The following is a 24,017-nucleotide window of genomic DNA, read 5'->3' on the forward strand; positions in this document are numbered from 1 at the left end:
AGGTACACACCACCAAGCTCAGCTAATTTTTTTTTTTTTTTTTTTTTTTAGTAGAAACAGGGCCTTGCCATCTTGCTCAGGATGGTTTTGAACTCCTGCCCTCAAGTAATCCTCCCACCTAGGTCTCCCAAAGTGCTGGGACTACAGGCATGAGCCACCACATAGTTTTATTTTATTTAAAACAAATTTCAGCCAGGCGCGAAACACCATCTCTAAAAAAATACAAAAATTAGCCAGGCATGTAGGTGGCACATGCCTGTATTCCCAGCTACTCAGGAGGCTGAGGTTGGAGGATCACCTGAGCCCAGGAGGCTGAGGCTACAGTGAGCTGTGATTGCACCACAGCATTCCAGCCTAGGCAACAGAGTGAGACCCTGTCTCAAAAGATATATATATTTTCTTTAGAGACAGGGTCGCCTAGGCTGGAGCACAGTGGCACAATCATGGCTCACTGCAGCCTTGAACTTCTGGGCTCAAGCAATCCTTCCACACAGCCTCCTGAGTAGCTAGGAGGACTACAGGCGCTTGCCACCATGTCTGGCTAATTTTTAAAATTTTCTGTAGCGACAGGGTCTTGCTCTGCCATCTAGGCTGGAGTACAGTGGTGTAATCATGGCTCACTGCAGCCTCAAACTCCTGGGCTCAAGTGATCCTCCCATTCAGCCTCCTGAGTAGCTGGGATGAAAGGTGTGCACCACCACACCCAGCTAATTTTTTAAATTTTCTGTAGAGACAAGGTCTTGCTTTGTTGCCCAGGCTGGTCTCGAACTCATGGGCTCAAGCAATCCTCCCACCTCAGCCTCCAAAAGTGTTAAGAGGTATGAACCTCATTAGAGGTATAAACCACTGTGCCCAGCCAGAAGTCTTTTTATTTTTATTTATTTATTTTTTTTGAGATGGAGTCTTGCTCTGTCACCCAGGCTGGAGTACAGTGGTGTGATCTTGGCTCACTGCAACTTCCACCTCCTGGGTTCAAGTGATTCTCCTGCCTCAGCCTCCTGAGTAGCTGCGATTACAGGTGCGCACCATCACCCCAGCTAATTTTTGTATTTTTAGTAAAGATGGGGTTTCATCATGTTGGTCAGGCTGGTCTTGAACTCCTGACCTTATGATCTGCCCACCTCGGCCTCCCAAGGTGCTGACAGGCGTGAGCCACTGCGCCCGGCCAGAAGTCTTTTTTAAAGTACTTTTCTGAAAATTCTGAAATCATTTCATTGAATGTTTGAGATTAGAACATTTCTTACTTGGCAAACCATCTGTAACTCCTGAACATAACTGATTCAGCTTCATGTCACTTTTATTCACCTGTTTCCTTGAGTGTGAGAGAAAGGGAGAAAAAGCCTGGGATTTTACTCGTAGCCTCTTTTCCATATGGTACTGTTTAAAGGAGTGATAACTGCGTGGTGTTACATTCTCCCAGAAATGTTTTGGGTTCCATTCAAATCTAGGTATCCTCGTAACATTATGTAAAACAAATAAACGTTGTCTTGTATGTGATAACAGAAAACAGGCCGAGAGTCACAGGACCACTGTGCCTAAGGCACAGTAAGAGGATCCCTACCATCCTTTTCCCATCAAGGATCCAAAACAGAGCTATTTAAAACAATGCCCAACTTGGGAGCACTTCTTTCTCACTTTTTTTTTTTTTTTTGAGACGGAGTTTCGCTCGTCTCCCAGGCTGGAGTGCAGTGGCCCGATCTCAGCTCACTACAACCTCTGCCTCCCAGGTTCAAGCAATTCTCCTGCCTCAGCCTCCCAAGTAGCTGGGATATTACAGGTGTGAGCCACCACGCCTGACTAATTTTTATATTTTTAGTGGAGACAGGGTTTCACCATGTTGGCCAGGCTGGTCTCAAACTCCTGACCTCAGGTGATCTGCCCACCTCGGCCTCCCAAAATGCTGGGATTACAGGTGTGAGCCACCAACCCCGACCCTTTCTCATTTCTTATACTATAAAGAGGTAAAACTTCTCAAATAAATGAGATTTTAAAAAATCTAGCAAACCTCGGTAAGTAGGATGTCAAGGATTCTGAATGACAGAGACCCTTAAGTCCTTTCAATCCCTTTGTCATTCTCATCCATCATTTGGAGAAAAATTGGGGGTGTTAAGACTTGTGGAGGTATAGTTAGAATTTGGTGTTTTTTAGCTGTAACACTCTAGAGAATAAGTCAAGCTAGACAAGGGGTTCATTGGAAAGGCTTGCTTTCTAACGAGTTCCTTGAGGGGCCTACAACAGCCCAGCCAACCAGGTAAGAAAACAGAAATGGACACAATGCAGAAACCCAAATATAATTTTTTTAAAAAATTCCAAAACAGATGAAATCACATTAATTAAAAACAAGACTGTAATTTCTCAACAATAAAAATTTGGGCACGAGGTAATGAAATATAGATAATATGCAGCACACAACTTGGAGAATAATGGCCTTTGAATAGCATAAACACTACCTCATATTGAGGATGGCCTGCACAGATAAGCAGCAGCTCCAGAGTTCGAAGGTCCCCAAGACCTTGGCCTGGAGTACAAACAATTTTTTCAAGAAAAGTTTCACATAGTTCAGTGAAAATACGGCAGTAATTCAGAACTCTGTAGAAGACAGGGGAATGAGAACAATGAGTCAGAAATCTGGATATTATAAGTATATACAGGCACAGTTAATCAAATAAATAAAAGGTTCCTCAGTCTAAGGGACATCTAGTGATTATTTACTATGCTGTATCACAATCCCCATGACAGACACCTTTACCTAGATCGTACACTCCTACGCAAGTGACTTGTCAGTTCAAATTCTCAATTATTAAAACATTTGAATAAAAACTCCCATCAAATCACACTTGATATTTTAAAATTTGTCTCCAACTTTTAAAGCCTTACCTTTCTATGGTAATTCTACAAACCCTGCACCCAATTTGCCACTCTAGGTTCAGAAGAGCATAGTAGAGCATCTTTAGGAAGCACTATCTGTACTTTACAGAATCACTGAGAATCACAAATGACAGACGAATAATAAAAAGTGACTTAAAAGAATGACCAGACTGTAGGTAAACCCAGGGCTCCAGACTTAAACAATTACTCACTTGTCTAAATCTTCACGTGCCACGGCCATATGATAGGCAGTCTCCAATGTCAGCACTCCCTGAAAAAGTTGCATGGCTAATGGCAAGTTAGTCTCCACATTCTCAATGGCATAGAGAGCTGAGCATACACAGTCCGAAGCAGCTTCATGTAGGTTAGACGAGGTCTTATCCTGTTGCTGGGGAGGTAGCAGGAATAGGGAAGCAAGAAGTATGATCACTAAGGAGTGATCTACAGTTGGCCCTGCACACCCTAGGGTTCAATCAACCATCGATAGAAAATATTCAAAATATAAGTAAATAATAATACAATGAAAAACACAAATTTAAAAATTACCCTATAGCAACTATTTACATAGCATTTACATTGTATTAGGTATTATAAGTAATTTACAGGTGATTTAGAGTATATGGGAAGATGTGGATAGGTTATATGCAAATACTGCACCATTTTATATAAGGGACTTGGGCATCTGCATCTCTTGGAAACTGTGCACAGAGGGGCAGGGGTAGTGGGTGGTCCTGGAACCAATCCTTTGAAGATAGTGATGGATAAATGTAATAGGAAAACAATTAGAGCCTCTTTCTTTCTTTCAATTATAGCCTCTTTCTGAACATGTACTTTAAATGTGTAACAGTCAAGTCATAGCCTTCCATGAGACAACATCCATCAATCTTCCCAATCTTATTTCTATTTCCTTATATGTCAAGCAAATCAGCCTTTCTGTCCCGAAGTCATGGTCGTATCATTTCTAATCTCCATGTTCTTGTTCACACCAGCCCCTCCAAATGGAAAGCCATGTGTTCCCTACCCTATTCTAGTGTGTGAAAAATCTTTTCCATCCTTTTTCTGATACTCAAGTACTACCTAAAATGAAAGGGCTCAACAAGTATCAAAGACACATACCTAAACACATCATTGTGAAATTTCAGAATACCAGAGTTAAACAAAGGTCTGTAAAATTTCAGGGGAAGAGAGGAGGAGGTAATAGTAAGGAGCAGAATTCAGAGTTCTCTGACTTTTCATTAACAATGATGCATGCTAGTAAAGGAGAGCAAGGCCTTTGAAATTTTGAAGGAAAATAATATTCAGCCTACAACTTAATACCTAGCTGAGCCATCAATCAAGATCGAAAGCAAAATAAAAATAGTTCTCAGGCATGCAAAAATTCCAAGTTTACTTTCCATTATATCTTTTCTGAAGAAGTTATTTGAGGGGGTTTGAGAAACAGCTAACCTAATCCAGAAAGCACAGTAAAGACAAGTCCCAAGATGACAGGGAGTAGATCTAAAGAACAACTGATGCAAATCAGAGCAGACCAAAAGGTCCAAGAAGGGAATCCTCCCGGGTTTCTAGTGAAGAGAGTACAGTTGAGAGGTTGAATACACTTAGTAAGGGCGTATTAGTCTTCCTTGAATAATTTTTTTAAAAGGATATTTAAAATCTCCAGTGGGACAAAAAGGTATATAAGCAGGTTTGGGAGAGCACAAAGATGCAAATTATTTATTAGGTATTCTTAGATTGAATAGTAGGTTCAAAGATTCTCATTATATTACCAAGTTATAAAAAGTCAGTGTTCGAGCTGGGCATGGTGGCTCACACCTGTAATCCCAGCACTTTGGGAGGCCAAGGTGGGCAGATCACAAGGTCAGGAGATCGAGACCATCCTGGCTAACACAGTGAAACCCTGTCTCTACTAAAAATACAAAAAATTGGCCGGGCGCGGTGGCTCACGCCTGTAATCCCAGCACTTTGGGAGGCTGAGGCCGGTAGATCACGAGGTCAGGAGATCGAGACCACGGTGAAACCCCATCTCTACTAAAAATACAAAAAATTAGCCGGGCGTGGTGTCAGGTTCCTGTAGTCCCAGCTACTGAGGAGGCTGAGGCAGGAGAATGGCATGAACCCAGGATGCAGAGCTTGCAGTGAGCCAAGATGGCGCCACTGCACTCCAGCCCCGGCGACAGAGCGAGACTCCCTCTCAAAAAAAAAAAAAAAAAAAAAAAAATACAAAAAATTAGCCAGGTGTGGTGGCACACACCTGTAGTCCCAGCTACTCAGGAGGCTGAGGCAGGAGAATCATTTGAACCCAGAGGGCGAAGGTTGCCGTGAGCCGAGATTGTGCCACTGCACTCCAGCCTGGGCGACAGAGGGAGGAGACTCTGTCTCAAAAATAAATAAATAAATAGTAAGTGTTCATACTTATTCTTTTGTATATATGAAGTATTTTAATTTTTAGGGTTTTTTTTTTTTTTTTTTTTTAAGAGCTGTTGGGGGAAAGTTGTACCAGAAAGTCATGGTCCAAACATACAGCAAAATAAAATGTGACATGGCCAGGTGTGGTGGCTCACATCTGTAATCCCAGTGCTTTGGGAGGCTGAGGTGGGAGAACTGCTTGAGGCCGGTTCAAGACTAGCCTGGGCAATAAAGAGAAACCCTGTCTCTAGAAAAAATTAAAAATTAGCCAGGCATGGTGGCACATGCCTATATCCCAGCTACTTGGGAGGCTGAGGCAGGAAGATTGCTTGAAGCCAGGAGTTTGAGACTACAGTGAGCTACAATCATGCCAATGGAGCTACTCCAGTCTGGACGACAGGGAGACACCCTGACTCCCTGTGACACTCCCCCTAAAAAGAAAAAAAGTAGCATGATTTTAAACCACTGAATGAATGTAAAAATAAGAATATATTTTACCCTGACTCTAGATAAACACTCTTACTAGTGACAGAGGAGTCCTGACACTGGATCAGTAGAGGAGATAATATAATCCTGGAACACTAATTAACTTCTTCCTTACTCCAATTCCAATTCCCAGAAATTACCACTGTTAAGTTTGAAGTGTATTCTACACTGTCCTCCATTTATATGTAATCACATGTACATTTTTTAAACAAAAGTGGGACATGACTTTATTTACAGTGATTACTCTTCACACTATTTGTTGACGTGATAATAAATATTATCATTATTGAGGAAAGATACCAACATAAATGGAGACAGACAATGGCAAGCAAAACAATGATTGGCATCCTAATTTTCCTAAGGCTTAGCTTCTGATGCAAAAATGACACAGAAATACACACCAATGACATGCCAAATGTCTCCTTGAAAAATGTCTTTCTTTTCTTTAATTCACAGTGGCATCAATCTAGCATCATGGTACTATCTTCTGAGTAATAGCGCATCGGCATACATTCACAATACATGCAGCTTCCATACTAATATATCTTCATTGAAGGAAACCCTCCAGCAGAAAGAGACAAAGTTTTTCATGTCTCCAAAGACCCCTTCAATAATATTTATGCTTGAGATAATGTTATGTTTCTTGTTCTAAAATGTAATCTTATTCTAATCACTCCCTAACTCCTATCTACCAAGACTATATTACTAGGCACTGCTACTTTCAAAGCTTAAAGAAGAAACGCACAAGTATATAAAAAGACATTAGTACTTATTCTACTAATCTCAAAAACCCAAATCCATTTTGCATATACGATGTTTAACTAATCTCAACTACAAAGATAATATCTTAATCTATAATTGTCTCTGGATGCACTAAACATAATTTTTAATTCTTCCTGTTCTGTTTTTTCCTAAACTTGTGATGCACACATAATTATATCATGGAAATGTCTAGGATTCAATGACCATTATTGAAATACATAATTTTATATTTTTAAAACAAGGAAAAAGATACCAATGGTTATTTGGATTTTAATATGTAAATCATGTATCAACATATAAGACTGTTTTCCTCTTAAACATAACTATATCCTATTAGGAGTATTAAAACTGATACTTCTAATTTGGTACCTCGTAGCAAGGAAGGAACATTGCTGCATTCTTAATACACGCCTTCCAGTTACTGTGCAAAAATTTAAAAACGTTTTTATGTCCCAGCAGGTTAGTTACGAAAAGTGATTGGCAGAAATACTTTGATAAATAAGGTCATTACTTACCAAAACCTCAAAAAGGAGTGCTAGTAATTTATTGTTAGCCATGAAGTTACTGTCCAAAACTCCCAAGTTAAACCAACTTCCCAAACAGCGAAAAACCTTCATAAGCATTTTCTCATCTGTTCCTGCTTTTTCTACACAGGTCATCTGAATAGAGAAAAAAACTTAAAATGAATAATGTTAATCTATATATTTAAACCATTATTTCAATCACCTTACAAGTATAATAATGAGAAAGATGGCAATAAAACAGCCAACGGTTAAAAGTGCTTTTTAAGTTTAAGTGTCACTGTTTTTTTTTTTTCCTTTTAAGAGAGAGGGTCTTGCTACATTGCCCAGGCAGGACTACAGGCATGTGCCACTGCATCCAGCTAGGCACCACTGTTCTAAATACAACTTATCTACTTAATCCCCGAAATGGTTTCGTTCTGTGTCCCCACCCAAATTTCATGTCAAATTGTAATCCCCAGTGTTAGAGGAGGGTTCTGGTGGGAGGTGACTGAATCATGGGAATGAACATCCCCCTTGCTGTTCTTGTGATAGAGTTCTCACGAGATCTGGTTGTTTCAAAGTGTGTAGCACCACCCCCCTCCTTCTCTCTCCTGCCGGCCGTGTGAACATGTGTCTGCTTCCCCTTCACCTTCCCCCATGATTGTTAAGTTTCCTGAGGCCTCCCTAGAAGCAGAAGCCTGTACAGCCCACAGAACCATAAGCTGATTAAACCTCTTTTCTTTATAAATTACCCAGTTTCAGGTATTTCTTTTCTTTTCTTTTTTTTTTTTTTTTTGAGATGGAGTATTGCTCTGTTGCCCAGGCTGGAGTGCAGTGCCACAATCTCGGCTCGCTGCAACCTCCACCTCCCTGGTTCAAGCAATTCCCCTGCCTCAGCCTCCCAAGTGGCTGGGATTACAGATGCACATCACCATACCCAGCTAATTTTTTTGTATTTTTAGTAGACACGGGTTTCACCATGTTGGCCAGACTGGTCTCAAACTCCTGACCTCAGGCAATCCGCCCACCTTGGCCTCCCAAGGTGCTGGGATTACAGGCATGAGCCACTGAGCCCAGCCTCAAGTATTTCTTTATAGCAGCATGAGACTGGACTAACACAATCCCCAAATACAACTTTATAGGTAGCTGCTATTATTGTCTCTACTTTCTCAATGGGAAAACTGAAGTAGAGAGAGGTTACAGACTTACCCAAGTTGTTTCAGAAATAACTTACTAATTTCTTAGTTCCCACTTCTGCATTATCCAAAAAATTATTTTACAAGTAATTTACTTACTTATATACCTGGTTGATACAGAATAGATAATAAGCTAGAGTAAGCTAGGCATACCACTGTATATTTCCACAAGAAAAGCTAATGTTTCAGCTTTGGCAATAGAATAATAAACATGTCATCCCACAGAAAGTGATACTACTATAAATACTATAAAAGAGATAAAACAGAATTAGACTAAAACTCAATGTTTCTCCTTGTAGTCTGTTTTTGTGATATATATTTTTTCCAAAGTAAAATGTAATGCATCTTTTTCTAGGCAAAGAATGTTTTAAAAAAAGCTCTTGCAAGCAATGAGTTAGAAATATAATTTCCATGGGGTTCAGGAGGCATGAGAGTGGGGGTGAAATCCCATAATGTATTATTAAATAAGATCTAAATAGTGATATTTGTGGTTACAATGCAGATATAAACTACACAGGAAAATTTCCCAAGTTCAAAGCTTCATCTACTACATAAACCTACATTGAAGATGACTGTCTTTATTATTGTGCTCCAAAGAATGCTAGGTTGCTAAGATGAAGAGAAGTGAGGGGTTAATGAATGACTGTATACCAGCTCATTCCCACAGAAGGCTATTTAAGATATTCGGGTCTGGAAGCTACCTTTAAAACAAAGCAAAACAAAACAAAAAACCACCTTTCCTTCTCAGAAGACAGAAGAAAGGAAGTCCAAGTATATTAATATACTTGACTCTTTCTATTTCTTCTCTCTCTTCCAGGCCATTACATTTCAGGGGGAGGAAGAAAAGTACATGAAAAATAAGCTGACCAGTCATTGCAACATTTACTGAGCCCTTTCTGTGCACCAGGCACTGTTTTAAGAGCTTTATATGTATTAAATCATTTAATCCCCACAATATGAAACAGATACTATTATCCCCATTATACTGATGAGAAAACTGAGGCAGACAGTCAAGTAACTCGCCCAATATGGCACAGGTAGGAAACAGCATAGCCAGGACTTAAACTTAAGAAGTCTGGCTTCAAAGTCTATGATCTTAACCATTACACGATAGCTACCTCCCAAACTTGCTTACATACATAGAACAAAGATATGATTAATATCAAGGACTTCCTATATTTCAAAAGCCTGTAAAGTTAGGCAGACTGCAACAATAATCTATCTTACTAATATTATACATTATTATCAGTGTAACTAGCTATATACTAATTTACCTGGATAATGATTCGTGTATTACCAAAGAAAGCCATGAAATATTAACAGCATGGGGAAACAGAATCATCTATCACACATGAACCAACTATTTTACTAGTTTTAAGCATGTCAGCTTGAAGTATACATCATTTGTAATGAATAACATCAGAACTTGATTGCTAACTAAATGCAGACTCACTTCCGCTCATTTTCATTTATTGTGCATATTGCATTATATATGCTTGTTGGAAAAAGGTGGAGTTGCAGCTAACTTGCAGAGAAATTAACCACGTAACTATGAGTATACACATAAGTTTATGTCTAGGATATAGACTTCTGAGACATCTGTCACTATCTAAAGCCACAAGAGGCACAGAGTAAATATCCAAGTATTTATAGAAGGAAGAATGGCAGGGGCCGGGTGTGGTGGCTCACGGCTGTAATCCCAGCACTTTGAGAGGCTGAGGTGGGTGGATCACAAGGTCAGGAGTTTGAGACCAGCCTAACCAACATGGTGAAACCCCGTCTCTACTAAAAATACAAAAATTAGCCAGGTGTGGTGGCACGCACCTGTAATCCCAGCTACTCAGGAGGCTGGGGCAGGAGAACTGCTTGAATCTGGGATGCAGAGGTTGCAGTGAGCTGAGATTGCGCCATGGTACTCCAGCCTGGGCGACAGAGCAAGACTCTGTCTAAAAAAAAAAGAAGGAAGAATGGCAGGAAAGGAAAGAACTAAGAGCCCTTGCTTTAGAGGGGAAAGTATTTGTAAAAAGTCATCAGAGCCTGCGTGCAGTGGCTCACACCTGTAATCCCAGCACTTTGGGAGGCTGAGGTGGGAGGATCGCTTGAGCCCAGGAGTTCTAGACTAATCTGAGCAACAAAGTTAAGACCCTGTCTCTACAAAAAAATTAAAAAATAAAACAACACTTTAAAAGTCACCAGAAAACACACTAGATGAGATAAGAAAATGTCACAAATATGGTTCTGGCCCCATTAAGTTCTTCTAGATATTTTTTACTCAAGACTTTCTTTGTTCCCCTGAAACTCAGAAAGAAAATATTCAGGGATGCCAGGCACTAAAATGGCCAGAATTTTTAGAAAAGACTATGACACTAATATATGCAATATATTTAAATATGTAATACGTAAACTAATAAATGCACAGGAGCACTTAATTTAATACGGTTCAAGGCTGAAAGTAGCAAAATGAACGGAGTAACTAAGTTCCCTTAACATGAACTGGAGCCACTGAGAGATTTCTCTTTAAGAGCTGATACTCATTCTCTCTCCCCCTCAACCTGTCTCAAACTCTCAATTGAATCTTTGATGCTGTTGATATAAACTCATTACATAATCACTTGGCCTTTAGACTTCCTGAATGATATTTCAATTTTAATAAGACATGATGTGTACAAGTGGAAGGATTTGCTTGTACATTCTAACTATTGACTCAAACTGAAAGACCAAATTCTGAAAAAAACCTGTTTCTAAAACTAATCTCTTTGAAAAGATGAAATTCTGCAAATTAAATCAAACATACATTCTAAAACATCAGAACTAACAGTTATCTTCTGTTCCTCTTTGAGAGCTATGCTATGTTAAAAATCTGCCTCTTAAAGTCCTCAAAAGCTTCAAGATAAATGCCACAGAGTCCAGAAGAGCTCACCAGTAAAAAGATAGCAGGGATAAATAAGAATTGAGATCTTAGATTAACAAAATAGAAAGTGAAGAGACAAAAATGTTAGAAGCACAGGTTCAGTTTAGCTATGAGAGCAAGCAGAAACACGTTTAAAACTTCAAAAAGTTCAACACCATGTTTAGGAATGGGTCCATTAGGACAGACCACAAAAGTATAATACTAACAAGAAATAGGACAGAATGTAATCATTAAAGGAGAGTGTGCAGGAAACTAAATGAGAAAAGGTCTTAAGAGGGGTTTGGAACCTGGCATTACAGCCACATGCCTATTTTTTTCTTGGCCATTTTGGACTAATTTCATCCCCTGGGTTCTATAACATGACAAGCTACATGACAAAATTAGAGACATTTTTAAGCACCACAGGAAATATATTTTTCAGACTGCATCACAGTTCCTCAAAATATCACCTGTGATTGATTGTCATGATGTGCTAAGTCAGGCACGTGCCTTGAATGCCCAAGTGGCTGCTGTAGTTGACTGCTGTGGCAGTAACCATGACACAAAATACATGTGGATGGGATTATTTTAAATTCACAAGTGCTTACAAAAAGAAAATGACAAATTCAAGTCCATTAACTCTCACCTCAGGCCACAGTCTGAGCACCACAGCTTTCACGCCCAGTCTAAAAGCAGCTCTTACTTTTTGTAGCTACAAAGTTAGTACTGCTGAAACTCGTATACCAAACTTAGTTGTGTGACTTGCTGAATTACAAACAACAGGTGAATTTACAGTCCCTCCACACTTCTCATGTGAAAGTTAGGAAACTGACTGGTAAAGAATGGGATTCTGAAACTTGGAAAGGAGACACCTGGTTGGACCTAAATGAACATGAGTCCATCATACTTCAAAAAGACAAAGCCAGAAAAAAAAAAATTCAAGGCAGCTTTAAAATAAATCCTCATTTTGAAAAGAATTAAGATTTATCCTACCTTTCTAGTAGGAGCTCATAAGAATGCCAACTTATATGTACAAGAAATAACAGAAATAGTCAAATATCATTTTGCAACCCATGATGAAATTATTATTATTTTTAGAGACAGTCTTGTTCTGTTGCCCAGACTGGAGTGCACTGGCACAATCGTGGCTCACTGCCACCTTGAACTCCTGGGGTCAAGTGATCCTTCCTGCCTCAGCCTCTTGAGTAGCTGGGACTACAGGTGCATGCCAACATGCTTGGTTAATGTATTATTTTTTTTTTGAGACAGGCTCTTGCTATGTTGCCCAGGCTGGTCTTGAATGCCTGACATCAAGCAACCGTCCCACCTCAGCCTTCCAACGTGCTGGAATTATAAGCATAAACCACATTGCCTGGCCCATAATGAAATTATTGATTAAGGTAGGGATTATCTACTGGAATGTAAAACAATTAGGCTAAAGTCTGATAGGGAATTGAACATTCATAAACTAACAAGCTACCATCACACAAACTACATTATATTACAAAGGAGGAAAGTGAACTTTAAAAATGGAAGGAACAGACTTTCATCTTAATCCAGTGGTCAACCCTAGCATCACTAATAGAAGGTCAACTGAACGCTGTATATATACTAAGACATAGCATCAAGTACCTATGATATATTCTAGCCCAAAATATTTAACTTTAAAAAACTAATCCTCTAAGCCTCTCAGTTTTTCTCAATCAGGATTCTAGGAAAGAATTATATCCTATAGGTTGGGTGTGGTGGTTCACGTTTGTAATCTCATCATTAAGGGAGGCCAAGGAGAGAGGATCACTTGAGACCAGGTTTGAGACCATAGAGAAGCTCTATATCTACAAAAAAAAAAAATTGTATAGAATTAAGCCCTTCAGAAAATTATCTGAGTGCCCATCTTCTTAATTATCCTAAGGGCGGTATATAGCTAGAACCATTATTAATGTAGAGGAAAGAATTCATTACATATAACGAATAGCTTTAGGCTTAATTCTCTTGAGGAACCCCTACTGAGAAGGGCTGTTTTAGATACAACTTCCAATTAGAGGAAATACAGAGAAAAGAAAAACATGCTAAAGGAAACGAAGGAGAGGCAATCAGAAAATCATAAAGGTAAGATAATTCTATAAAATGACTGGTACAATCTCTTCAACAAGTCATGTTATTTTAAACAAGGAACAGAATGTGGGACTGTGACTAAGAACCTGATACAAGGCATAGTTACAGATTGGATATTCTTTGTAAAAAGTATCTTTTTTTGTTTTTTCTTTTTGTTGAGATGGAGTCTCACTCTGTCGCTCAGGCTGGAGTGCAGTGGTGCCATCTCGGCCCACTGCAACCTCTGCCTCCCGGGTTCAAGCAATTCTCCTGCCTTGGCCTCCCGAGTAGCTGGGACTACAGCTGCATGCCACCACGCCCAGCTAATTTTTGTGTTTTTAGTAGAGACGGGGTTTCACCATGTTGGCCAGGATGGTCTCGAGCTCCTGACCTTGTGATCTGCCAGCCTTGGCCTCCCAAAGTGCTGGGATTACAGGCATGAGCCACCACGCCCAGCCTGTAAAGAATATCTTAGGACCAACTGGTGAAATGTGAATATGGTCTGGGTTTATCAGATGATATGAAAACTTACTAACTTGAAAAGGTAAGCAGATGACTGAAAAAGCAAGATGCAGAAGAATAAGTAAAGTATAACTTCATTTGGGCTTAAAAAATCTGTATATATATCCATAAATATGTTCATAGAGGATATGTATTAAAGGGTTAACTGTATGATCTCCAGATGGTTTGAGTGAAATTTGCTGTACATATTTTCTAATTTTCCATAAAACTATTTCTTTAAAATAAATGGCTAAGTGAAAAACATATATTTAACTTAAAAGAATTATTTTTCAATGAATTTCTTTTTTCTTTTTCTTTCTTTTTTTTTTTTTTTTTTTTGAGATGGAGTCTCCCTCTGTTGCCCAGACTGGAGTGCAGTGGTGCAATCTTGGCTCACTGCAACCTCCGCCTCCCAGGTTCAAGAGATTCTCCTGCCTCAGCCTCCCGACTAGCTGGGACTACAGGAGTGCACCACCATACCTGGCTAATTTTTGTATTTTTAGTACAGACAGGGTTTCACTATGTTGGCCAGGCTGGTCTCAAACTCCTGACCTCAAGTAATCCACCCGCCTCAGCCTCCCAAAGTGCTGGGATTACAGGGGTGAGCCACTGCACCCAGCCCTCCAATGAATTTCTAATACAAAACTGAACACAATTTTTAATAGAATTTTAATTTTTTTTCAAACTAAAAGATCTATGAACTTGCTATACTGAAACACATCTCTGAAAAATAATTTACTACAGGTTAAGTATCCCTAATCCAAAACTCCAAAATGCTCCAAAATCCAAAACTTTTTGAGTGCCAACATAACGCTCAAAGGGAATGCTCACTGGAGCATTTCAGATTAGGAATGCTGAACCACAAAGTATAATGCAAATATTCCAAAATTTTAAAAACTCAGAAATCCTAAATACTACTTTTTTTACCCTACCCTAAACCCTTCTGGTCCCAAGCCTTTCAGTAAGGGATATTCAACCTGTATCCACATTATTGAGAAAATTAAGCTGGACTATAAAGACTTAAAAATGAGATATGGGCTAATCAATTTATTAGCATCTACTTTAGGAACCAGTAAACATTTTCTATAAAGAACCAGATAAACCGTCTACACTTTGCAAGCCATATGGTCTCTGAAAAATACTCAATTATGCTGATGTAGACCAAAATAATGGACAAAATATAACCAAATGGGCATAACTGTGTTCCAACAAAGCTTTATTTACAAAAAGAGGCAGCCAACCCATAAACTATAGATTTACACACTCCTGCTCTAGAGTATTAAAAATGTCAACTAACTGAAAGGAGCTTAATCACATCTAATTTTTTAAAAAATGTGTATTAGCTCATCCATAATGCGATACTCCTCAAAGGTCAAGTAAAATCTTCTATCACCTTTCAGTTCATCTTTAAGAGACAATCCTTTCTTTTATCTCTCATAATATACAAAAATCAAATCAAAATGGATTAAAGACTTAAATGTAAGATGTGAACTATAAAACTACTACAAGCAAACATTAGGGAAATGCTGCAGGACATTGATCTGGGCAAAGATCTCTTAAGTAAGACCTCAAAATCAAAGGCAACTAAAGCAAAAAAAGTCGACAAAGGTCAAGCTAAAAGGCTTCTGCACAGCAAAAGAAACAATCAACCAAGTAAAGAGACAACCTACAGAATGGGAGGAAATATTTGCAAACTACCCATCCAACAAGAGATTAGTAACCACAATATATAAGAAACCCAAATAATAGCAAAAAAAAAAAAAAATTAAAAATTAAAAAATGGGCAAAAGATCAATAGCAAATGCTGGCAAGGATGCAGAGAAAAGGGAACGCTCTGGAATGTAAAGCAGTACAGTCATTATGAAAAACAGTACGGAAGTTTCTCAACAGACTGAAAATAGTACTACCATACGATCTAGCAATCCCACTGCTGGGTAAATACCCAGAAAAGAAACCAGTATATCAAGAAGATCTCTACAATCCCATGTTTATTGCAGCACTATTCACAATAGCCAAGATATGGAATCAACCTAAGTACCTATCAACGGCTGAATGGATAAAGAAACAATGGTATAGGTGCACAATGAAATATTCGTTAGCCACAAAAAGAATAAAATCTCCTGTCATTTGCAGCAACATGGACGGCACTGTTAGACATTATGTTAAGTGAAGTAAGCCAGGCACAGAAAGACAAATATCACATGCTTTCACTGCTATGTTGGAGTGAAAAAAAATGGATCTCATAGAGGTAAAGAGTAGAATGACGGTGATCAGAGGCTAGGAAGGGTAACGGGGAGGGGACGACCAAGAAAGGTTGATTAACGGGTACACAAATACAGCTGAATAGAAAGGATACGTTATAGTGTTACACAGCAAAACAGAGTGACTATAGTTAATAATTTATTGAGTACTTCAAAATAGCTGAAAGAGAAGATTTAGAATGTTCCCTACACAAAGAAATGATAAAGGTTTGAGGTGATGGATATCTCAATTTGATCATCACCTGATTTGATCTGATCATCACATATTACATACTTGGACAAAAATAATACATGTCACTGGGCACAGTGGCTCACGCCTGTAATCCCAGCACTTCGGGAGGCCAAGGCAGGTGGATCACTTGAGGTCAGGAGTTCGAGGCCAGCCTAGGCAACATGGAGAGACACCATCTCTACAAAAAATAAAAAATTTAGCTGGGCATGGTGGCGCACACCTGTAGTCCCAGCTACTCAGGAGGCTGAGGTGAGAGGATCACTTGAGCCCAGGAGGAGGAGGGTGCAGTAAGCTGAGATCATGCCACTGCACTACAGCCTAGGAGACAGAGACCCTGCTTCAAAAAATAAAAGTAATACATGTAACCCCATAAATATGTACAACTATCATGTATCAATTAGAAAAAAAAAGAAAGGATCCTTTCTTAGTAAAGTAGATTTATACACACTTCCCTTTGCATGATCCTTTATTAACAGCCAACAGTTTGGAGCATTAAGCAGTAGAAGAGCACAAGATAAATAATGAGATGGCCTTAGTTCCAATTCTGAATTAACAGTTGTGTAACTCTAAAGTCCATTTTTCATTCATAAAAGAGATAACGTCACCTTTAGAGGATTATACAGAAACTTAAAAAGCATAGTTTCTGAAAGTATGTTGTCATGGTAAGGTGTTACATAAATACCAAAGCATCATCATTAAATTTTGCAAAGAAAGCTATTTCACAATAATGCAATTGATTACAAAATAACCGCCATGGCTTTCTGCCTTTATGCAGCAACTTAGTATTTCAAACTTACTCACCAATAGAGATACTACTGTACTAGAGTAGAAGGCCAAATCTTCTATAATTTCTGTGCGCCGATTAGCTCCAATTCGTAAGGAACGACTATGTACTTCTTCAGGTAACACTGTAAGGATCTCCAGCAAAAAAGGCAAAGAAGTCACATCATTGCTGTATCTGCAAAAGAAAAAAGTGGAGATATGTTATTTATAGCCAGAAAATACACAATCACATAAGATAACAGCCATCAGAGTAACTCACAACAACAAAAGCAACATTCCCACCACTGTTAAGGGGGAGAAAAAAGATACAAACATAAATGTCCTCCATAATTAGTTAAGATTAAAAAAAGGACACAGTTATTCAATGAAACATAGCCATTATAATGAACATGATATCTATATGTCCTAACATGAAAAAAAGTCCATAATGTAGTAAGTGAAAAACATGTATGAAACATATTGAATATGGGTGAACAAATATATAGGTATATGTACATTAAAATATATATGCACTTATTTATTTTAAAATGCATAAAGGAAACTCTACATAGCCAATTGTTAATAGTGGTTGCTTATAAAATACAGGGTTAAGGGCCAGTTGTGGTGGCTCATGCTTATGATCCCAGCACTTTGGGAGGCCAAGGCAGGAGGATCACGAGTCCACAAGTTCGAGACCAGCCTGGGCATCACAGGGAGACCGTTTCTACATTCAAAATTTTTTAATCAGCCAGGCATGGTGGTATGCATCTGTAATCCCAGCTACTCGGGAGACTGAGGCAGAAGGATCTCATGAGCCCAAGAGTTGCAGGTTCCAGTGAACCATGATCACACCACTGCACTTCAGCCTGGGTGACAGAGTGAGACCCTGTTTCAAAAATAAAATATAAGGATAGGGAGAGAGGACGGGGTTCATTTTGCACTTTGAAGGTTTCCATACTGTTAGAATTTTTTCAAGGAGCATGTATCAATTTCCCCAATAAAAATTTTATTTAAAAAATAAGCTATCCACTCAGGAGGCTGAGGTGGGAGGATCACTTGAGCCCGGGAAGTCGAGGCTGAGGTTGTAGTGAGCCATGACTGTGCCACTGCACTCCAGCCTGGGTGAAACAGCAAGACTGTGTCTCCAAAAAAATAAAAATAATTTTTAAAAAAGTTATCCAAGCTGGATGAGGTGGCTCACGCCTGTAATCCCAGCACTTTGGGAGGCCGAGGTGGGCAGATCACTTGAGGTCAGGAGTTTGAGACCAGCCTGGCCAAACCCCGCCTCTACTGAAAATATAAAAATTAGCCAGGCGTAGTAGCACATGCCTGTAATCTCAGCCGCCTGGGAGGCTGAGACAGGAGAATCACCTGAACCCAGGAGGTGGAGGTTGCAGTGAGCCAAGATCGCACCGTTGAACTCCAGCCTGGGCAACAAGAGCGAGACTCCATCTCAAAATAAAATAAAATAAATAATAAGTTATCCGTAAAATGCTTTAATGACACACTATATTGGAGGTAAAAAGTAATTCTACTTTGTTCAAAAATAACTTCCCAACCAAATGCAAGCAAATATCAAGGTTATCTTGCCAGGACCCAGAAGGAATACTTGTTTCAAAGTAGCAAGCTCTGTGTGTCTAAAAAGAATATTGCCCCTCTGATAAACGTGAAACAAACTCCAATTAGTAAGAACACATATTCATAACAACCTCCCATTTAATATAATCTTAAATTCTATATTTTTACAAAATGGCTGTCATGCCAGTTAGTGAGAGTGATCCACAAGGCAATAAAAGACTTTGCTGCAATTAATTCAAGAAGTGTGTGTTACATAAATCACTAGTCTTTTACATCCCACACAATATATTTCAGTAGTATTTAAAATTTTAGATAAGTTTCATTTAATCTAACAAAGGTTAATAACATAATTCTATGTTAAGAGTTCAGGGAAATAGTCAAATATCTAGCTATTGCTAACAAATTTCTCTGTGTAGGTTAATGGCAATTCCAAATGCTAATATAGAGTCAATACAAATTACTTACTTTTCCACCAGTGTTTGCACACATCCCTTCCAGGAAGGCATCTGTAGGGCAAGATCTGCTATTGCTAAAGCCAGCTGAATAAGAGAGATTAAATAAATGAAGACAGATGAACAGAAATAGGGTCACAATAAATATTAATTGGGAAGCAAAGAAACATTTCTTCCAAACAATATGACAACTAAGACTAACCCCCTTCCCCCATTTCTCCCAACCTCCAATTCTATACATCTGATGTAAACTTTTTTGGGTTAGCTACAAATTGCTGAAATTTAAGAGTTAACCTTTAAAAACTAAAAAAAAAGAAAAGAAAAGAAGTCAGAAACAACAGACTATAGACATTCCTCAAAATATATCAATATTTACTTTTATTTGGCAATACCACAGAACTTCACAGACATATAAATTATACTATGCCAAAGGTCAAAGCTACTAATAAAGTCAGACCTTTGACTCAGTTCTCAAGTAATGGATTGCCATTTCCCTTCTCTTTGCATTTGTCATCTTGAAGACTTAAGAAAAGCCTCCTCTTTAAGGGCACTTCTATGCCAGGCAGAGAACACATGTGAGTACGTACTCACAGAAGTTTCCAGTTTTCCTATCTAATGTATTTCCCTGTCCAAGGGGGAAAGGACAGATGCTCTAGTTCAACGTTTCATTCATGAGACCTTTACTAAAGCCAATCAGCCCTGAAAGGATTTCTTAAAAGGCAACTACCTAAACCTCTGACCTAGCATGCCTGTGAAAACACATACTCACCTTATCCACTTCTGGTATCAAGTTAGTTTGAAACCAAATGAACTCCAAGATTAATACAAAAGATTAACAATTTCGTTTTCTATCCACTTACAAGAACATAGCAGTACATCTGTAATGAAGTTAACATTACCTCACATGGCCTAGCAATACGAATTAAAACAATCCTGATAAATCCAAATGGCCATACAAATTTCTCTAATGAGAAGCACAGGATTTACCTGCGTTACAATAACAGGTGACAAGTCTTTCAAGTTCTGGATATGGGTTAGCAATGAGTCCCGTAAAGAGGCATGAGAGTCTGTGGGGAGCTCATAAAATGAGGTCTGAATCTTCATTTTCATGGTCTGTGCAGCAAAATAGCATGACTCCACATCCTGCCGGATCTGTAACAACTGGTCTGAGATCTCCCATGCATGAACCTGAAAGCGTATTAGACAAAGATGTCTTAAAGAAGACTACTTTTCTAATTTTAATGACATAACCTCAATACTTATATAAACATATTTAGCCCAAAGTATAAAGAAAGAAAAATCTGACAAGCTAAATTACCCAGTAATTCAGCCAACAGTTCAATATACATTGTTATAGGCCCTGTTCAACAAAATAATTACCTAAAATCTGACTCATTCTAGGAAGGCATGAGAGCTATCAGTTAAATTAGTAGATACAATCTTGTTGATTTGAATGACTGTGTGGGTGTCAAGAGTATGAAGAAAAATGTCCCAAAAGTCTCCACTAAACTAAAATGTCACTGTATAATTTCCAATCCTAATCTATGGCTGCATGTTTCTTCTCTTTTCTTGCTTAAAATAAAGCTTTGTTCACTCTAAGAATTGAATCCAGAAGCTGTTTTAATATATCTATAAATATGAGAATATACTTCATATTGGTCTCAGTAGCCCTACATTTCAATTATTAGTTCCCGACAAAATAGCAGAAAAACTATGTTGGCTCAAGTAAATATTTCACATCCTTCAATTATTTTCTTTCTTTTTTTGGAGACAGAGTCTCACTCTGTCACCCAGGCTGGAGTGCAGTGGCACAATCTAGGCTCACTGCAACCTCTGCCTCCCAGGTTCAAGCAATTCTCCTGCCTCAGTCTTCTGATTAGCTAGGATAACAGGTGTGCACCACCACACCCAGCTAATATTTGTATTTTTAGTAGAGGCGAGGTTTCACCATGTTGGCCAGACTGATCTTGAACTCCTGACCTCAGGTGATCCCCCTGCCTCGGCCTCCCAAAATGCTGGGATTACAGGCATGAGCCACCGTGCCTGGCCCCTTCAATTATTTTCTGATGTATTACTACTTGGCAAAGTGCTACACATGTTACTGAAATCATTTTCAATGGAAAAATAAACTTATCTATAGACATAATAAAAAGAACCAAAGTATAAAATCTGCTCTCTAGTAGCCAGTCACAATTATAAAGGGGAGTCATATTTTGAAGACAACTTTGGAAACAATATCGTGCAGTAGATTGTAGACAACTAATTAATTAGATTAATTCTAATCCAATTCTACACTCAACAGCCTCTGGAAGAAGACTAACATGGACTGGCAATAATGGACTGAAAAAAATTTCAACCTCAATTTAGGAATAGTGTCTATTGTAAAGAGAAGGGGTCAATTTCTTATGAAGACAGAGCTCTTCACAAGTAATACATAATCCTTGTGTATCCTTCAAGATCTTTCCAAAGATTGATACGAAGCAAGTTAAGATATAGAAACAGGTAGAATAAATGGCTTGTACAAGTTCCTAAAGTAAATGGAAAATAAAGACCCTGAATTTCCTAATTACAGATTTACTGACATAAAACTTAGCTTTAGGCTGGGCGTGTGGCTCATACCTATAATCCCAGCACTTTGGGAGGCCAAAGCAGGAGGATTGTTTGAGCCCAGAAGTTTGACACTGGCCTGGGCAACATGGCAAGACCCCCGTGCCTCTACAAAAAAATTTAAAAATTAGCTGGGGCCCAGCACAGTCACTCACACCTGTAATCTCAGCACTTTGGGAGACAGAGGCGGGCAGATCACCTAAGGTCAGGAGTTCAAGACCAGCCTGGCCAACATGGTGAAACCCGGTCTGTACTAAAAATACAAAAAAATTAGGCGGGTGTAGTGGCACTCACCTGCAATCCTAGCTACTTGGGAGGCTGAGACAGGAAAATAGCTTGAACTCAGGAGGCAGAGGTTGCAGTGAGCCGAGATTACACCACCACACTCCAGCCTGGGTGAGAGTGAGACCCTAAAAAAACTTAAAAAATAAAAAATAAAAAATTAGCTGGGCATGGTGGCATGCACCTGTGATCCCAGCTACTTGGGATGCTGAGGCGAGAGGATCACTTGAGCCCAAGCAACAGAGTAAGACCCTGTTTTTAAAAAAACCACCCCTCCCGCCCCCCACCAAAAAACCCCAACCTTAGCTTTCAATGAAATAAGGGGTGCAAAGTAAGCATGAGGTGTTAACTTCTTTACAGATATAGTATATTTTACTAATTTTTGTACTTTTTAGTCCAAACATCGTGTCTTAAATGTATTCAACAAATGTTTAATTAATTAATGTAGTACTAATAGCACCAATTTTCCTTTCTCAAGTAAAAAAATCTTCCAAAGATTTTAGCCATTGATTAACCAGTAACCCAAGCACACCTATGATTTAATAGACCATCAGAATATCTTTACTTTGCTCATGTTAATATCTTTTTATTTTATTTTTTGAGACAGGGTCTCGCTCTGTCACCCAGGCTGGAGTGCAATGGCACGATCTCAGCTCATTGCAGCCTCAACCTCCTGAGCTCAAGAGATCCTCCTGCCTCAGCCCCCTAGTAGTTGGAACTACAGGTGTCTGCTACCACACCCGGCTAATTTTTGTATTTTTTTGTAGAGATGGGGTTTCGCCATGTTGCCCAGGCTGGTCTTGAACTCCTAAACTCAAGTGATCCTCCTGCCTTGGCCTCCCAAAGTGCTGGGATTCCAGGCGTGAGCTACCATGCCTAGCTGATATATTTTTAAATAGCAAAAAGATTCTATGAAGCTTTATACAATCTCCACAAATCCCTCAAAAAAAACAGAGCATTAGATAGCAACAAAACTAGGTGTTGTCTAGTTATCTCCAAGGGTATCTACAAGAACCCCAAAATATAAGTGGAAGGAGACAAACCAGTGACATCTGTAAGACCTGTGTGGTTTTAGTCTCAGTAAATGTGGAAGCAGAGGCAAACAACAGGGTGTCTACTGGACCTAAGAACAGAGAAACACCAAGAACCAACAGAGATTCACTGGAAAGTACAAGGAGCCAATCTGAGGATGGCAGTTGAAAATGGAGGAGGTTTGGCCGGGCGCGGTGGCTCACGCCTGTAATCCCAGCACTTTGGGAGGCTAAGGCAGGCAGATCACCTGAAGTCAGGAGTTCAAGACCAGTCGGGCCAATATGGTGAAACCCCGTCTCTACTAAAATACAAAAATTAGCTGGGCATGTTGGCGGGTGCCTGTAATCCCAGCTACTCGGGAGGCTGAGACGGCAGAATCACTTGAACCCGGGAGACGGTGGTTGCAGTGAGCCGAGATCGCACCACTGCACTCCAGCCTGGGTGGCTGAGTGAGACTCCGTCTCAAAAAAAAAAAAAAAAGAGAAAGAAAAAGGAGGAGGTTTGACCCAATCCAATAGCCAGTAAGTATAAGTGTGAAGGGGATGCCAACAGTTTAGCCTTTATAAAACCTTGAAACCAAACAGTCAGGAAGAGACCCCAATTGAGGAAAAACTGCTATGAAAAAAAACAAAATAATATAGAACAAGTATAATAGAGATGAAGGAAGAAAAGGTTGGAAGTATTATCCTTAATCAAACCTCCTTCTAGAAATTCAGAAAAACTAATTTCACAGAAAATAAGCAACTGAGGTCAAATGTCATATATGGCTGAAAGAGAAAATAAGCAGAGTAATACCTTACGAGGAAAGAAGACCAGAAAAACAGGTTTAAAAACCTAGCCTATTACTTCAAAATGAGCTAAACAACATTAAGAAAATGATACAAGATACGGAAGAATAGAATTGAGAAGGAACATTTCAGAAATTAGGTAAAAATCTCAGGAAAAAAATCAGAAATTAAAAAAATCCCTTCAGAGATAAAGACTAGGAGGAATTTCACATGTGACTAAACACATCAGATAATGTCTTAAGAGAAACACATGAAAAGGAGTGTTTTTTTTTAAACAAAAAAATTTTAAAACATTTAAGAGGAAATGACAAATATTG

General features: G+C 39.0%; 1 protein-coding gene across 30 annotated transcripts in view; it reads right to left on the bottom strand.

The window, feature by feature from the left end:
• The window catches only part of TNPO3 (transportin 3), a 102,009-nt gene that overhangs the window by 43,794 nt on the left and 34,198 nt on the right, over positions 1-24,017 (bottom strand). For 18 of the 30 annotated variants that reach the window (NR_167917.1, NR_167913.1, NR_167925.1 and 15 more), the window contains 6 exons: positions 19,979-20,179; positions 19,005-19,078; positions 17,001-17,157; positions 7,038-7,181; positions 3,081-3,256; positions 2,451-2,589 (listed from right to left, as the gene is read on the bottom strand). Coding sequence is in view for 12 of the 30 variants with exons in the window: in NM_001382222.1 (NP_001369151.1) it covers positions 2,451-2,589; positions 3,081-3,256; positions 7,038-7,181; positions 17,001-17,157; positions 19,005-19,078; positions 19,979-20,179 (891 nt within the window). In the remaining 18 variants the exon portion in view is untranslated. Of the gene's footprint in view, positions 1-1,244; positions 1,313-2,450; positions 2,590-3,080; positions 3,257-6,161; positions 6,323-7,037; positions 7,182-10,045; positions 10,168-17,000; positions 17,158-18,290; positions 18,414-19,004; positions 19,079-19,978; positions 20,180-21,892; positions 22,018-24,017 lie in introns of all 30 variants that reach the window. The other 12 variants (NR_167923.1, NR_167919.1, NR_167927.1 and 9 more) reach the window with 7 other exon arrangements.

Source organism: Homo sapiens, chromosome 7 (genome assembly GCF_000001405.40).
Source record: "Homo sapiens chromosome 7, GRCh38.p14 Primary Assembly".
In the NCBI taxonomy this organism is placed as follows: domain Eukaryota; kingdom Metazoa; phylum Chordata; class Mammalia; order Primates; family Hominidae; genus Homo; species Homo sapiens.